The 16266-nt window shown below is 37.5% G+C and overlaps 1 annotated feature.

The window, feature by feature from the left end:
* Window positions 15766–16266: an enhancer, noted in NCBI's record as "H3K27ac hESC enhancer chr4:58338702-58339202 (GRCh37/hg19 assembly coordinates)". NCBI's record gives its function as "activates a minimal SCP1, AML or CMV promoter by ChIP-STARR-seq in primed H9 embryonic stem cells {active_cell/tissue: H9 hESC(primed)}" and the evidence as "EXISTENCE:reporter gene assay evidence [ECO:0000049][PMID:30033119]".

Below are 16266 nucleotides of genomic sequence, written 5' to 3'. Positions count from 1 at the left end.
TGGGGCAAATGCACACGTTAACCCCTAAATAAACACAGACTTCAAAGAATGGAGAAAGTCCACAAAGGGCTAAAAGGAATCCTAGAACTACACACTCACCCTTTTCATTCCACTTCAACTTCTGCCTCCACCTTTGCCAAGTCTTATCAGATGACTGCTATAAGCAACGTAATTTATGTAAATAGAATCCATTATGCAAATGCTTCCAACTTGCTTGCTACTTAGAAATTTTGTTCTTTTATGTTTAAGAAACATAGCCTTTATCCCCTGGAATAGACAGATTGGTTATGTTTATGTTCTTAAAGCCTTCTGCTACTGTTCTGGGCTTTGAGGAAAAATTATTTTTTATTTTAAAAAATGTTTTGCCTTGCCTCTCATCCCCTTCTGTAAAAATAGCCTCTTTGTTTAGCTTGGTGGTTTGTACACAGGCTTAATGATTGCAGTAGGGTAATAGAACCTTAGTAAGAAGGGTAGTACACAGAGGTAAATGCATAGATTATACCTTCTACCCTACAGGGGATCTGTTGTTTTATTGGGTTTGTATGAAACTGAGTAATCCAATTAATTCAGAGATCTCTGTGATCTTTGGTCCCTGCTTTGTTTAAGTTATATTTTCAAATGTGAACTCAATGAAATTCTTGTTTGGAGCCATAAATAGAGAGGCAGAAAAGTATATGTTCTTTGTGTTCATACTCTCTCTATGCCTTAAAATGGCAAGCCAAATTATAATGAAATAGAGCATGTTCCACTCTACACAAGGACATATTAAAAAAAAAAACTCTTTCTGCTAACATAAACTGCATTTTGTAATTTCTTATTTATATGTGTGCACATATATAAAGTATAATACATAGAAGAGACAAAAGGCATAATGTCATGAAAAAGAGTATAAGAGAGTATGTCTTTGTTTTAATAAACATTACAATAAATGAATTATGAATTAAAATTCTTTTCCCACCCTAAAGAAACACATTTTTCAACTTGACGAGTCATTGTAACAGAACTGCAAGCTCCAAGTCATTTAAAAATAGTGCTGTTTTAATAGAAGAGAACAAAACATACTAAAATCTCCAATTTGACTGATGTTCATTTTGTTACTTGATGACAAACCCAATCCAACCAGCCATGATTTAAGTGCATTCACTTTTGGACTGTCCAAAATAAATCCCCTTTGTTTTCTTTAGGCTAAACATTGTACTAAAACATCTTACTTCCAGACATTGCTCTGTGTTTTTCCAGTTGCTTATAAATGATATCTGGTGACTTGCTCTAATACTATATGGGTGTACAAATTAAGCTGATATACTTTCTACTATTTTTCCTCAAATATTCAGCAAATATTTACTAAGCACCAACTAAGTGGCATACATTGTTCCAGACTCTGGAATTGCACCAAAGACAAGGACTCTGTTCTCATGAAACATATGGTCTTGTGGAAAGAGACAACAAATAAACAAGTGAATGAGATGATTTCAGACAGAGCTAATAACTGAAACATAAAACGAACAATCAGATTGAGTGAGCAGGGGAATGTGAGGGTTGAGGGGGCTTCGGTCAGAAACAACCTCTCTGAGAAGAAGACATGGCACTGAAACGTAAGTTCTAAAAAGAAGGCAGTCACATAAAGATCTCAGGGAAGTGAATTCCAGGCAGAATGGACAATGGACAGCTGGAACAAGGGCCTTAACGTAGAAAAAAAAAAAAGCAAAACAAAAAAAAAAAAAAAGAAAAATCATTGCTATAATTCAGAGAATGAGGTGGGGAATAAGAGAAAATTAAATCAGTGAGGAAATCTGTGGACAAATCACTCAGATCTGCCTTGAAAAGAAGTTTGGGTTTTATCTTTTTTATTTTTATTTTTATATGAGATGGAGTCTTGCTCTGTTGCCCAGGTTGGAGTGCAGTGGCGCCATCTTGCCTCACTGCAGCCTCTGCCTCCCGAGTTCCAGTGATTCCCCTGCCTCGGCCTCCTGGATAGCTGAGATTACAGGTGCATGCCACCACACCCGGCTAATTTTTGTATTTTTCAGTAGAGACAGGGTTTTGCCATGTTGGCCAGGCTGGTCTCGAACTCCTGACCTCAGGTGATCCGCCTGCCTTGGCCTCCCACAGTGCTGGGATTACAGGCGTGAGCCACCGCACCCAGCCTGTGTCTTATCTTAATTGGACTGGGAAGCCATTGGAGGATTTTAAGTGAGGAGTGATGTGACATGAATTATGCTTTGAGCCTATTACTTTATAAAGAGTAGAGGTGCAGAAAGTGAGGTGCAAATGTGTAAACAGAATAATTAGGAGACTCTGTAGTATTGCAGATGAGAAATCATGTTGTCTTGAGCTAATGTTTAAACTGTGGATTAAGAGCCAATATTATTAAAACAAATTATACTTTTGTCCAGTATAAAACTACATATTCTATATTAAGTTTCTTTGCTTTTGATTCAAATTATATCAACTCATAAGATGATTATGGGGGAAACCACTTGATGAATTCATTTTAATAAATATAGACTTTTCAGGCTTATGGTTTGTAAGTGGGGAAATCTCTATTTACAACAGTGATTTGGGGTGAAGAGTTTTGCAATCACTAGACCACCAGCTGCTATAATGCCTCAGTTAGACATCCTTTGCCCACTTTGCTTTCAAGCCAGTTGCAAGCATACCAGAAAGTTGGGTCACAATTCAAACCTTATCAGCACTTTACCTTAGAGTCATTAAGTGTTATCAGATCCTTTTCTGCTGACATATTTTTTAAAAAGAGAAAGAAAGAAGAAAAAAGATAAAACCTGGACTTTTGAGGGTAAGACAGGAAATGTCTACCATGGGAAAATGCAAAACAATGGCTGAGCCTGACATTCCAGCTATGAAACTCACCTATGCTATAACCCCACTCCAGCCCAAGGGAAAATTGGGAGAAAGGGAGGAGGTGAGCTCTATGCCAAGGTCGGCCTTTAGGAAAAGACAGGATTTTTACTCACCCAGGAGCCAAGGATAAGATTTGAAAGGCACACCACTGCCCAGGATCTGGTTCAGGCTTCAGGGAGAGGTGCCAGGCTCCTGGCTTTAGGTACTAGTGCTGCTGCAAATGTTCAAGTTCGCTGCCACAGCAAACAGAATCAGAACAAAGGCTGGGTCTCCAGCACATGGGTTCTCCAAGTGAACCATCCACTTCCTTTGACACCAACCATGGTGGCAAGGAAAAACAATCCTGAACACCCTACTTAGGCTCAGACACCTTTGGGAGCCTGCTATGTACCTGAGCTTAAAAGAGACGTGGAGAGATTAAGCCTCTGAAATATTATTGCTTTTTAATATCTTGCTGGTAGCATCTTGTTTCTTGCCTTAACTCTTCTGATTTTACACTTAAAAGTGATTGTCTCCACATTTTTCTTCAGCGCACGCTCTAGTTTCCAATTTATATGACATTCCTATTTGTGTATCACGTCATTATGCAGCTCTTTGTTCAGCTAATTTGGCTCCTTCTCACCCATTATTTTTCTTGTATAAAAAGGTTACATTCACCTTTCTCAGGCTAATTTTCAACCATAATATTGTTCCTCCTTTACGTTGAATTATTAATACCCTTGCTGGAATTTCCACACAGTGTGAGAAATAGTAACATGGGAAAACACACGCAGCACACAAATCTAAGGCAGTTTCTACAACACAAAAGAAAGGCATGAAGAAAGGCTCTGGGGTTGATCCGGTCTGCAACTATTATTTTTAAAGCAAATAACTGCTGATTGTTTTATTTCTGGATCTTTCCCTCTGAATTCTAAACATGTAGGAGTCTAACCACATGGTGTTAATAGTGGTGAAAAGAGAGGAGAGAATCACCCTTAATTTCTTTACCTGAAACAACCATTACTGTTTCTCAGTGTTGTTTTTGTTGTTGTTGCTGCTGCTATTTTGAAAATAATATGGTTAGGAGTGACTTCAACCATTTGGGTGTTCCTGAGGAGGGTGTTTAAACCAGTTTATATGTAAGGTCTCAGAAAATATTTCCTGCAGTGGTGGTAAATTATTTAATCATTAGATGCCAGAATGTGGTGAGGATGACACAAAGAACATTAAGGTAGATGGAATCATCCTTATTCAGTCAGCATCTAGCTTAAATTAAACTAACAAATCAGAAAGTGAAAAGTATGGGGAAATGAAGCCTTACAAACACTGGATAGGAGAAAAGTGTATGTCATAGCCATTTCCAGAGGGTCCAAAGTAATACAGAAAGATTTTCCAGGGTGGAAATGGTTTGAAAATAAACACCAAAGCAGACGGGAGAGAGAAAACTTGACAAGTTCACCCAGGAGATGTGCACAAAGATATATTATTCATGCATAATGTAAATACTTCATTTTTTCAATAGTTGTAAAGTTGTCTACTTGTCTTTTTTTATAGCTGTGTCACATGTCATCTGTCTTAGGTGGTTAGTTCTTAAAGCAGTGATCTCCAGCCTTTAGAGAACTGAAAATCCCTATTGCTTGTTATGTGACAACTGCCCTACCCCAACCTCTCTGCCCCCAACCAGAAAAAGTAAGGAGAGGATAAGAATGTTTAAAATTATGTGAACTTTCATCTTATGTAAATTGAAACTATTCCAGTTGAGAGGAATTTTATAATCCCAGCTGGGATAACCAAGGTCCTCCTCCCATCCTCTTCCCACTGCATGTTATAAAACTGAGGTTGCAAGCCATTGTCCAAGGGGAAAAGTTGTACCTAATAAAAACTTTATTTCTGAATTTTAAAGATGAAAAGAGTCTAACCTCCTAGAAGTTGTGAAGGAAAACAAAAAGAAAAAACAATGCCCTTAATCTCATGAAGTAAAATAACCATAATTGCTTTTTTTTAAGTTTTTGTTCTTACATTCTTTTAATGTTATGAAATAAATACATTATTTTAAGTCTTTGTTTTAAACAAATTCAGAAGTGCCTAACGAGTAACAAATGAAAATTTCCATCATTTCTCATCTCTCATTCCCAAACCTTCTACCTTCCCAGAGGCCAGATCTGGAAGCATCTTGGTGCATGTTGTTCTCAAATTTATTCTATGGATTTATACATAGCCATGTGTTTGAATGACACATATATAGCTTGTCCTGTTTTTATAAAAATAGGTCATATCATACATATTATTTAGCAGTTTGATTTTTTAAACTTAACAGTATAATTTGGACATTTTTCCACACTGGAACATCATTCTTTTGATTGCCTATATAACATTCCATCACACTAAAAATCAAAACTCATTTCAACCACACCCCGATATTTAGGTTATTTCTACTTTTTGCTCTAAAATCAACACCCTTACAAGCAGTGTGTATGTTGTACATGTGTCTTTTTGCACATGCTATATTAAACAGATACCCGGAAGTGAAAGTAGTGGGTCAGGGGATACTTGAAATTATGATAAATACTGCCACATTGCCTCCAAAGCTAATCTCATCTGTATATACTGTTGCTTAAAATTCTGTACCTGACCTTTTTCATAGTTTTGTGATATTGGGCACATAAATAAAAAATACTTTAACTGTTTCTCTGTTGTTAAATTGTAAGTGGATGCTGGTTTTTCACCAATATGAAAAACAATGCTGTGGTGAAATTCTCTGAGCACATGGGTTTTCAATGTTTTAGGTGATGATTTCTTAGCATGGTTTATTGTTCATGTATACTATCAAATCCCTTTCCAACTTACATGGTTTTATTACTTGTGTGATCCTATTCACTAAACTTAATATACGAACCTAAGGAGATGGAATATTTTTTCTATATGTATATTTTCTAGGATTTATTCTTTTGAACATTAGGTATATAGGGACTTTTGTCTAATTATGAAGAGCATGAACTCTTAAACTATTGACATCATACAGCAGAATGGAAAACAGTATGGAGATTCCTCAAAAACTTAAAAGTAGCACTACTATATACTCTAGCAATCCCACTTCTGGATATATACCCAAAGGAAATGGAATCAGTAGCTCAAAGAGATATTGACACCTCCATGTTTACTGCAGCATTGTTTACAATAGCCGAGGTAAGGAAACAGTCTACTTGTCCATGTACAGATGACTAGATCAAGAAAATGCCAGATGTACATATTATACGTATATATATATACACACATACACACACGCATACAATGAATATTAGTCAGTCATGAAAAAGCAGGAAATCCTGCCATTTGTGACTACATAGACGAACCTGTAGGACATTATGCTAAGCGAAATAAGCCAGACACAGAAGAATGAATACTGTATGATCTCACCTATATGTGAAACCTAAAAAAGTCAAACTTACAGAAACATAGAGTGGAACGATGGGTTGCCAGGAGCTTAGGGTTGGGGGAAATGGGGAGATTTTGGTCAAAGGACACTAACATAGTTATAAGATAAAGTTCAGGAATCTGATGTACAGCATGGGTGGTATGGACATGTATATTAATTTGATTTTGATAATCATTACACAGTGTATGCATATATCAAATTATCACATTAAGCACCTTGAATATATACAATCTTTATTGTCATTAATATTTTAAAATTAAGAAAAAACTATTAACTGTATACTTTGCTGTATTTTCTGTTTTTAAAAAGTTTGTCTAGTGTTACAACACAATAATAAAACAATAATAATAAATAACATTTTGGTATATTTACTCTGTGCCAGCTATACTTAACACTTTGCTGATAAAGGAACTAAAGATTTTCACAACTAAAATCCATAGGTTTGTTTCTTATCATTTCTTCTCTCATTTTAAACCATAGAAAGTCGATCTCTTTTTCAAGGTTTTAACAAATTTCTAATTTATTTCCTTCTGCATTTTATAAGTTTTATTTTCTATTTCATTGAAATAATAACTCTTTATGGAGTGCAGTATGATGTTTTGATACACATATATATTGTATAATGATCAAATTAGGGGAACTGGCATATCCATCACTTCAAACATGTGCCATTTGTTTGTGATGAGAATATTCAAAATTCTTTCTTCTAGCTATTTGTTGTTGTTGTTGTTGTTGTTGTTGTTGAGATGGAGTCTCGCTCTATTGCCCAGGCTGGAGTGCAGTCATGTGATCTCAGTTCACTGCAACCTCCGCCTCCCAGGTTCAACCAATTCTCCTGCTTCAGCCTCCTGAGTAGCTGGGATTACAGGCACCCACCACTATGCTGGACTAATTTTTGTATTTTTAGTAGAGACAGGGTTTCGCCAAGTTGACCAGGCTGGTCTTGAACTCCTGACCTCAGGTGATCTGCCCGACTCAGCCTCCTAAAGTTCTGGGATTACAGGCATGAGCCACCTCGCCCAACCTCTTCTAGCTATTTTGAAGTACACAATATATTATTGTTGCCTATAGTCACCCTACTGTGCAATGGAATACCAGAACTTATTCCTCCTATCTAAGCGTAACTTTCACCCATTGACCAACCTCTCCCCATCTTCTGGTAACTGCTGTTCTACTCTCTACTTCTATTAGATCAACTATTTTATATCCCACATAAGAATGAGACCTCTACCTATAAATAGTTGTCTTTCTAAACTGTCTGGATTTATCATGGTATATATTGTCAAACAACTTTTCAAATCACCAGTCACAGCAGTGCACAATGAGACCTTCTGTGGTTTGGATAGGGTTTGTTTGCCGCCCCCTCAAGTCCCACATTGAAATTTAGTCCCCAGTGTTGGAGGTGGGCCTGGTGAGAGGTGTTTGGGTCATGGGAGTGAATCCTTCATGAATGGCTTGGTGCTGTCTTCCCAGGAATGAGTGAGCTCTCACTCTATTGGTTCTCACAAGAACTGATTGTTGAAAAGAATGCAGCACCTCCCTCCCCTCTCTGTCTTCCTTCCTTTCTCACTATGTGATGCTCCCCTTCACCCTACACCATGAATGGAAGATTCCTGAGGCCCTCACCAGAAGCAGATGATGATGCCATGCTTCTCAAACAACCTGCAGATACATGAGCCAAATAAACTATTTTCTTTATAAATTATCCAACCTCAAGTATTCCTTTAACACAACGCAAATGGACTAAGACAAGACCAGAATAAATGCAAAGAAGTGATGGTGATAGAACAAGAGAGGAAGAAGATCGTATAGTTATGTTCATAAGAACTAGAAAGAAGGTAGTAGAATATGACAAAATAAATGTAGCCGTAAGCCATAGAAATGTGTCTACACATATGATGTAAATTTTGCTCTTATTACACTTCTATGGCAAAACGTTAATATTATTCTATTAATAATAGTTTTGAAGCAATGTACTTAACACATCAATGCACTTTTAAAAATCACAAGATTGCTGTTCTGAAGAACTGTCTTTCCCCAACCAGTTGTAAGCTCTTTGGGAACATGATCCATGCTTCTACTTCTTTTATATCCCCTACATTGCCAAGAACACAACACAGGGCTTGCCGTGAAGCATTTGGTGAACACCGGTCAATAGGTGTAATGCAGCACTTCATTGACTCCTTCCATCAATATTTCTAGAATCCATGTGGCAGACACTGCTGTAGGCGCTGGGTGGTTTACTGTATGTAATGTCCACAAAACAGGAGCAGTTTTGCCCTCATGGAGCCTGTATTCTTGAGGGGGAGATTGCATTTTTCAAACAAGTTATAATTACCAATTATAAGCAAGGAAAAAATACAGGGCCAGGTAAAAGAGATGTCCAAGAAGGCTTTCTTGGAGAAATGACATTTGAAATGAGATCCAAAGCATGAATAGGAGTTAACCAGGTGAAGGGGGAGAGGCAGTGAGCAGGTAGAGGAATAGTTTACACAAACTTGATGCACTCTTGAAGCAAACCTTCCAAGTGATCATCATAGTGCCTCCCTAAGAACATCAGAAAAAGGCAGTGGAGAAGGTGGGAACGGGGGAGAATAATGAGAATAATTACACAACTCCTAATATCAAAGAAATTAACTGAAAAGTAAAGAGTTTAATTACTGCTAGCTGTTCTACCCAGCGGACAACAAGCAACGGCCTTATCTGTGTTCTTAAGCTCCAGAGACTACCCCAGACACTGTTCTTGGAAGCTTTAGCCGTTCTGGAATCATAGACCAATGATTAGCATTCCCTACTGTCCAGTTCCTAAGATGCCTACCAGCAACATGGCCATAAGTAATCCCATGTCTTAAGCTCAACAAAAAAGAGTGCTTTCAGACAAAGTTGTAGAGAGATAAAAACCCTTTGCCTTATTTTCTCAAACTCTGCTCATCTTGCATTTTCACCTCTATCACCATGACAACGTATATGCAAAACAAATAGAGTATTTTTGCTTTTTACATAGGGTAGAGAGGAAGAACAAGTCTAAAACAATATTACCTTCACCCCACAAGGAAGATCTTGTCTCCAGGTGATGCTCATGTCCCTGTCATTTTCTCTAGGCTCTGGGCATGGTGTGACACCTCCCCAGGTGCACTGCAAATGTCAATTCATGAGCTCCTGGGAAGTTGGTATCCTTACAGCAGCCCAAGTCCAAGTTTTTTTTCCCAATGTCTAGTATCTATCAACAAAAGAATGTAATTACCCAACAATTATATACCTATTAGTAGGTGGCTATATATATATATGATATTTTATATATATAATGTATATAATATAATATTTTATATATATAATATATATTTTATATATAATATATATTATAATATTATATATTATATATATAATATATATTATATATAATATATAATATATATTATATAATATATAATATATAATATATATTATATATAATATATAATATATATTATATATTATATATTATAATATATAATAACATATAATAATTATATAATATATATGATATATATAATATATATGATATTAGAGACAACTTACAGCATTGATGAGGGAGAAAAAAAGGAGAAGATACAGGTCATGGAAGCCTGAAGCCATATCTTTGCCCTATTCAAATATCTGCCTTTTTAGACCTACACTCAGGAGTGGCTGGGGTGAAAGGTGACTATTTTCATTGTATTTAAAATGCCAGTTGCTTTGGTTTGTCAAAGTCCAAAATGAAACGATCTTTCAAGAAGAGTTTCTGACGTATGTAACACTAAGGTTGCATCTCCTGTTTTGAAGATTAAGGCAATTTTCTCGTGCCCTTTTCTCAGCTGTAATAAAAGCCCTATTTTTCAGTGGGAAGATGGATGGAAATTCCTCCTCACAGATGCAGTGCACCATCAGGCAGGTGCTCTCTCACTGGAGTGGCATCTTTAGTCCCCAGCGGGTTGTTCAGTGTCAGAGGCTCCAGGCTTGATCAACATCCTACACATTTTCTTGACAGATTGGTATCTTTGGCACCTCAGCTAGTAAACAACAGCACCAGTGCCCATGATTACCTCCTCATCTCTTCTGCCAAACTGTAAGAAAAAGGTTTCTCTTGCCTTAAAAAAGATGTAAACATTGTTCTCTTATTTTTTTTTTTGTTATTCTAAAATAGATCCTAAAGATACTATACTCAAGTTTTAATTCTTTAATGCATTTGCTTTGGTAAACATTACTCAGAAAACATCCACAAAGGACTCGAAATCCATTAAAAAATAAATAATGTTGCTTCAGATTTGCAGGTTGTTTTGATGATCACTGAGGAGAGTCAGTATTTCCCCCTCCCCAGGCTGGAAAGGAGAGCCAGCAGAGACTCTCAAGGATCCCAGGTCAAGGTTCCCACCCAAAGAAGGGCCCATCGGGATTACTGGGGGAAATTTTTCAAACCAGTCATATGCTTCCACAGATGATTGAGATGTACTTCTCTCACCAGCTAAGAGCCACGGAGACAGACAGCATGATTTAGTAGTAATAGCCAACATGGTCTAAATAACAGTTGATGCATTCATTACCTGTGCAAAATCAGAAAGTTAATAACCTTTCTTCACTTCAGTTCCTCATCTGCAAAATGAAGACACTGATACCTTACAGAATTATTAATTATGGCTAGGCTTGGTGTTCCCATGCAAATCTCATCTTGAATTGTAGTTCCCATAATCCCTGTGTGTTGTGGAAGGGTGGTTTAATTTACCAGTGGGTGGTAAATTAATCATGGTGACAGTTACCCTCAAGTGATAGTGAGTTCTCATGAGATCTGATGGTTTTATAAGGGGCTATTCCCCCTTTTGCTCAGCACTTCTCCTTGCTGCCGCAATGTGAAGAGGGACGTGTTTTCTTCTCCTTCTGCCATGATTGTAACTTTCCTGAGGCCTTCCCACCCATGCTGAACTGAGTCAATTAATCCTCTTTCCTTAATATTAATACATTACCCTGTGATATGATTTGGCTCTGTCCCCACCCAAATCTCACCTTGAATTCCCATATGTTGTGGGAGAGACCCAGTGGGAGGTAATTGAATCATGGGGTCAGATCTTTCCCATGCTGTTCTTGTGATAGTGAATAAGTCTCATGAGAGCTGATGGTTTTAAAAGGGGGAGTTTCCTTGCACAAGCTCTCTTTTTCCTGCTGCCATCCATGAAAGACGTGACTTGTTCCTCCTTGTCATCTGCCATGATCCTGAGGCCTCCCCAGCCACATGGAACTGTAAGTCCATTAAGCCTCTTTCATTTGTAAATTGCCCAGTCTCAGGTACGTCTTTATCAGCAGCATGAAAACAGACTAATACATGCAGTCTTGGGTATTTCTTCACAGTAGCATGAAAACGGACTAATATAGTTATTATGAGATTTAAATTAGATGAGCACAGTGCTTGGTACATAGTAAGCACTCCACAAATGTCATTTTTCTCTCCATCTATGACAGAAAATAAGAAAGCTTGGGTGTCAGACAAAACTGACTTCCTATTCTCGTCAGTCTACCGAGTTAACATTGTCATTCTTTTGAAACCATGTGTTATTTGACACATCAAATACATCCATTTCTACAAATATAAGTCAGATTTATCTCTTTATTTTTAGAAAGAAATGAGCAGTGAAAAGAAAAAGAGAGGGTCAGAGGATGAAGAGAAGTGGAAAGACAAAGAGAACCAAATTATCTTGGGCTACTCTGGGCTGGGTGCTTTCCAGATATTTGTATCCACTTAATTGTTCACATTCCTGTTAGAGATACAAAGATATTGTTGTCCCTGGTGTAGAGATGAAGGAGCTGAGACTCAGAGAGTTTAAGGGGCTCACCCAGTTAAGAGTTAGAGCATATTGAAACTCAATCCTCATTTTTCCATATCCTTTCTACATTTTCTGCATCACAGTGCATTGCCTTGCCCCTCTTCTCCATTTAATTCTTCCCTTCACTGTTGCTTCTTCTTGTTGTTGTTTGTTTGCTTTCTACCAGCATTCAACTAGTATCAATGATCCATTTCTTAAAATAACCTGAGAAACCTGTGCATTACTCATGGTAATAATTCAGGTAAGCCTAAAGAACGGCTTCATTAGCACTCGGTAGATAATGAATATTACAATTCCATTATTACTAATATTGTCACTAAAGACTTAGAGAATTGAAGAGATGGAGAGTTAAAGGAAATAAATTAGTGATGAATCTCACAAGTGTTCTGCCTGCCAACTATTAATAAAGTATATGGAAATCCATCCTTATAAAGTTGTTTTCCTTGAGAAGATTGTTGATGTGATTCAAATATTGAAAATCAATGTTATACATGTCCATACTTTCAAAATATTTGATTCACTAGTTCATTAGCACATTTAGTACAAGATGCTTGGCAGAATGATTGATCACTTGGAATACACATGAATAAATAAAATTACAGTAAAAAAATAAGCCTTTAAACTTGCTGATAATTTTACTTTTTTGAATTCTTAAAATATTATTGTCATAGTCTCCAAGAAAAAGCCTACAGCTAACAGTGATCTGGGCTCTGACATGTAACTATCCTTTTGCTCTATAAAGAACTTCAAGAAGCTTCTAGAATAAGGCTGTGATATCAGAGAAGAGGTAAAGAAAATTTCAAGGACAGAGAATTTTATGGACAAGATTTCCATGTTACAAAGGCACCCAGAAAATTGTAGAAAGCTCAATTCTAGTTCTCTCAACCCAATTCCTTGTTGGGCATGTTATGTAGAGGAGGCACCATCCATCCCAGAGGGATAAATTTCCCCACTAGGGCTTCTTGAGAACATTCAATTAACCAGAAAATAGGGAAATGCTTGAAAGAATAAAGCCCAATCCCTAAAAGCTATTAGCTTCTCATATTAGCCATCTCTAAAAATTATGCCTTATCAGCACTATAAAGAGGGAAATAAGCAATTCAAAATTGTTTCTAGCTAATAAAACATTTCCCCTTGCTCAGTATTCATCTCCCAATTAATGAAGTGGATAAAGGAAAAATTTATCATTACAACAAACACAACCCCACCTCTTTAGCCTCATCTCCCTGGAGGATGACGGGTGTATTACTAAATGTGCTAATCAACTGAGATGGGAATACTCTGAAAAGTATGGACACATAACATTGAGGTGCAATATATGAACCATCTCAAAACCATATTCAAATAAAATTATGGTATAAAAATGGAATTCCATATTCCAAATCAGTCAGTCTATTTAGTCTCATTATAACCTCATTGGTAATGTTGCCCATCTAAAATATTCTCCATAGTGTTCTCCATGTATGGAATCCTATTCACTCACATCAAAGTCCAACTTAAAATGTTACTTTCTCTACAAAGTTTTTCTTTACCATCTGCACCATTTCCTTCCCAATTAATGAATCATTTGTAATGATCAATTACTCCTATAAAATTCAATTTGCTATTGATTCATTCAACAAACATTTAGTTTACACTGTCATGTACAGTCACTGTGCTAAGGGTGGGAAGTCGAAATATAAATTGTGACAGTCAGATCTCAAAGTTTTGAATTTTAAAAGATTCAAGCAGGTTCTTAATTCTTAATTGTACTATAATGAGCTGAATGGACTTACAGAGAGATGTACATGCTTGCAGAGCATATTATGTAACTCATAGGTGAGGCATAACTTGGCCTCAAAGGGTGGGGTCTAGAGACTTCATTTAACTTGTAGGCTCCCTCACTTTGCATTTACGCTGTAACTTCTTAGTTATGTTTTCGTAAGGGATTTCATGTTATCCAACTAGACTGAAAGATTTTTGCAGACCAAAACATGCCTTTAATTTCTGTAAGTTCCCTTAAATATCCTAAATAATATTTGACACACACAAAATACCTCCAAACTATTGATAATAGATTGATTAGTTTACATATCTAATAACTAGAAGAAATTTTCTAGAATGTTTGAAACAAGAAGTTGCAAGCTAACAGAACTTCAGGCCAGTCTTGAAGAGTATTTTGTTCATTTATTTGCCTGCATAGAGTTTTAAAACTTTAAATCTATGCTCATTATTTCAGATTTGATACACGTCACATAAAAACCTAGATTTATGCACTGGCATGGAAAATCAGACAACTGGGTACAATTTGTACAAATTCCCTCATAGCAACAAATGACTGGATTTGAGAAGGAGCTATCATCATATTAGGGCTTTCACTGTCCAGGTTCCTAGTGTCAACTGAGATGATTTTACTCATTTGCATTACCTATGAGACCTCTGCATTGAGTTTGCAACCTATTTTAAGCATGGAGATCTTAGTAAAGGATTTGTCATCTCCAAATTCCCATGTACCCCAGTTGAGCAAATAATTTGCATTCTGCATGGCTTGCATTCTTTACTCCACATTTGAAGGCACTATCAAGGACTTAACCATTATTTATGGGAGAATAGAAAATAAGAGGGTGGCCTATAAAGACATGTGGTATAAACTGAGGGCATGCATAGCTTAGGAAGAAAAAATTGTTTCTTACTTTATTCTCCAACTGAGAGCTGGTCTACCTATGCTATGTTCTCAAAAAAATTTAAAAGGTAGGGGAAGAAGAAGAAAGAAAAACATGCTTACTACAGCCAGTGCTGCTATTACACTGAATGCATGAGTTCATTCTGGGGCTCAAATATTTTGTAGAATTTGCTGGGGTTTCTCGTGGGAGGAAAACAAAGTACATTAACTTAGCCTTTTGTTATTAGCAAAAAGGGTATGAATAAATCAGACTCATCCTTGAATCCTCAAAGAATAATGTCACCCATTAGACTACATTAACAGGAAGATTTTTCTCTAATAAAGTCATGGAAATCTAATTCATCATCATCAACCACAAAAATAATCATCTTGCTGGATACCTGAACAGATAACAAATTGGCAGCTGAGAGATCCAGGAAGACACTCATTTTTTTCTGGGTTTCAACTTCTTGATCCATCAAATGAAAGGGATTAGATGATTTCTGAGATTCCTTTAGCCCTAAAACTTGATGATTTATTCAAGGTACTTCCGGGATGCCAAAGATTTGAAGAAATATAGACAATTATCTATTCTTTAGGAGTTTTGTAGAGGAAAGGGGGTTCCTAGAGAAACACAACAAATAGTTTTTCAAGCTGGTTGTACTAAATGCGCAATAAGAGAACAGACAAAAAATAGAATTTCTGGCAAGGTGGCTGAATAGAAACAGCTCTGGTCTGCAGCTCCCAGCGAGATCAATGCAGAAGGCAGATGATTTCTGCATTTCCAAGTAAGGTACCTGGTTCATCTCACTGGGACTGGTTGGACAGGGGGTGCAGCCCACGGAGGGCAAGCCAAAGCAGAGTGGGCTGTCACCTCATCTGGGAAGAGCAAGGGGTCAGGGAATTTTCTCCCCTACCCAAGGGAAGCTGTGAGGGACTGAGCCTGAGGAACCATGTGCACTCCGGCCCAGATACTGAGCTTGTCCCATGACCTTCATAACCCACAGACCAGGAGATTCCCTCTGGTGCCTACCCTACCAGGGCCCTGGGTTTCAAGCACAAAACTGGGCAGCCATTTGGGCAGACACTGAGCTAGCTGCAGGAGTTTTTGTTGTTGTTGTTGTTTGTTTTTCCATACCCCTATGGCGCCTGGATCACCAGCAAGACAGAACCATCCACTTCCCTGGAAAGGGGTGCTGAAGCCAGAGAGCCAAGTGATCTGGCTCAGCGACTCCCACCCCCACAGAGCCCAGCAAACTAAGATCCACTGGCTTAAAATTCTCGCTGCCAGCACAGCAGCAGTCTGAGATCAACCCTGACACTGGAGCTTGTTGGGGAGGGGCATCCATCATTGCTGAAGCTTGAGTAGGTGGTTTTACACTCACAGTATAAACAAAGCAGCCAGGAAGCTCGAACTCGGCAAAGCTCACTGAAATTCAGCAAGGCTGCTATAGCCAGACTGCCAGATTTCTCCTCTCTGGGCTGGGCATCTCTGACACAAAGGCAGCAGCCCCAGT

The sequence above is a fragment of the Homo sapiens genome, chromosome 4, assembly GCF_000001405.40.
Source record: "Homo sapiens chromosome 4, GRCh38.p14 Primary Assembly".
Lineage (NCBI taxonomy): Eukaryota > Metazoa > Chordata > Mammalia > Primates > Hominidae > Homo > Homo sapiens.
This window is presented reverse-complemented; position numbering and strand designations above follow the sequence as displayed.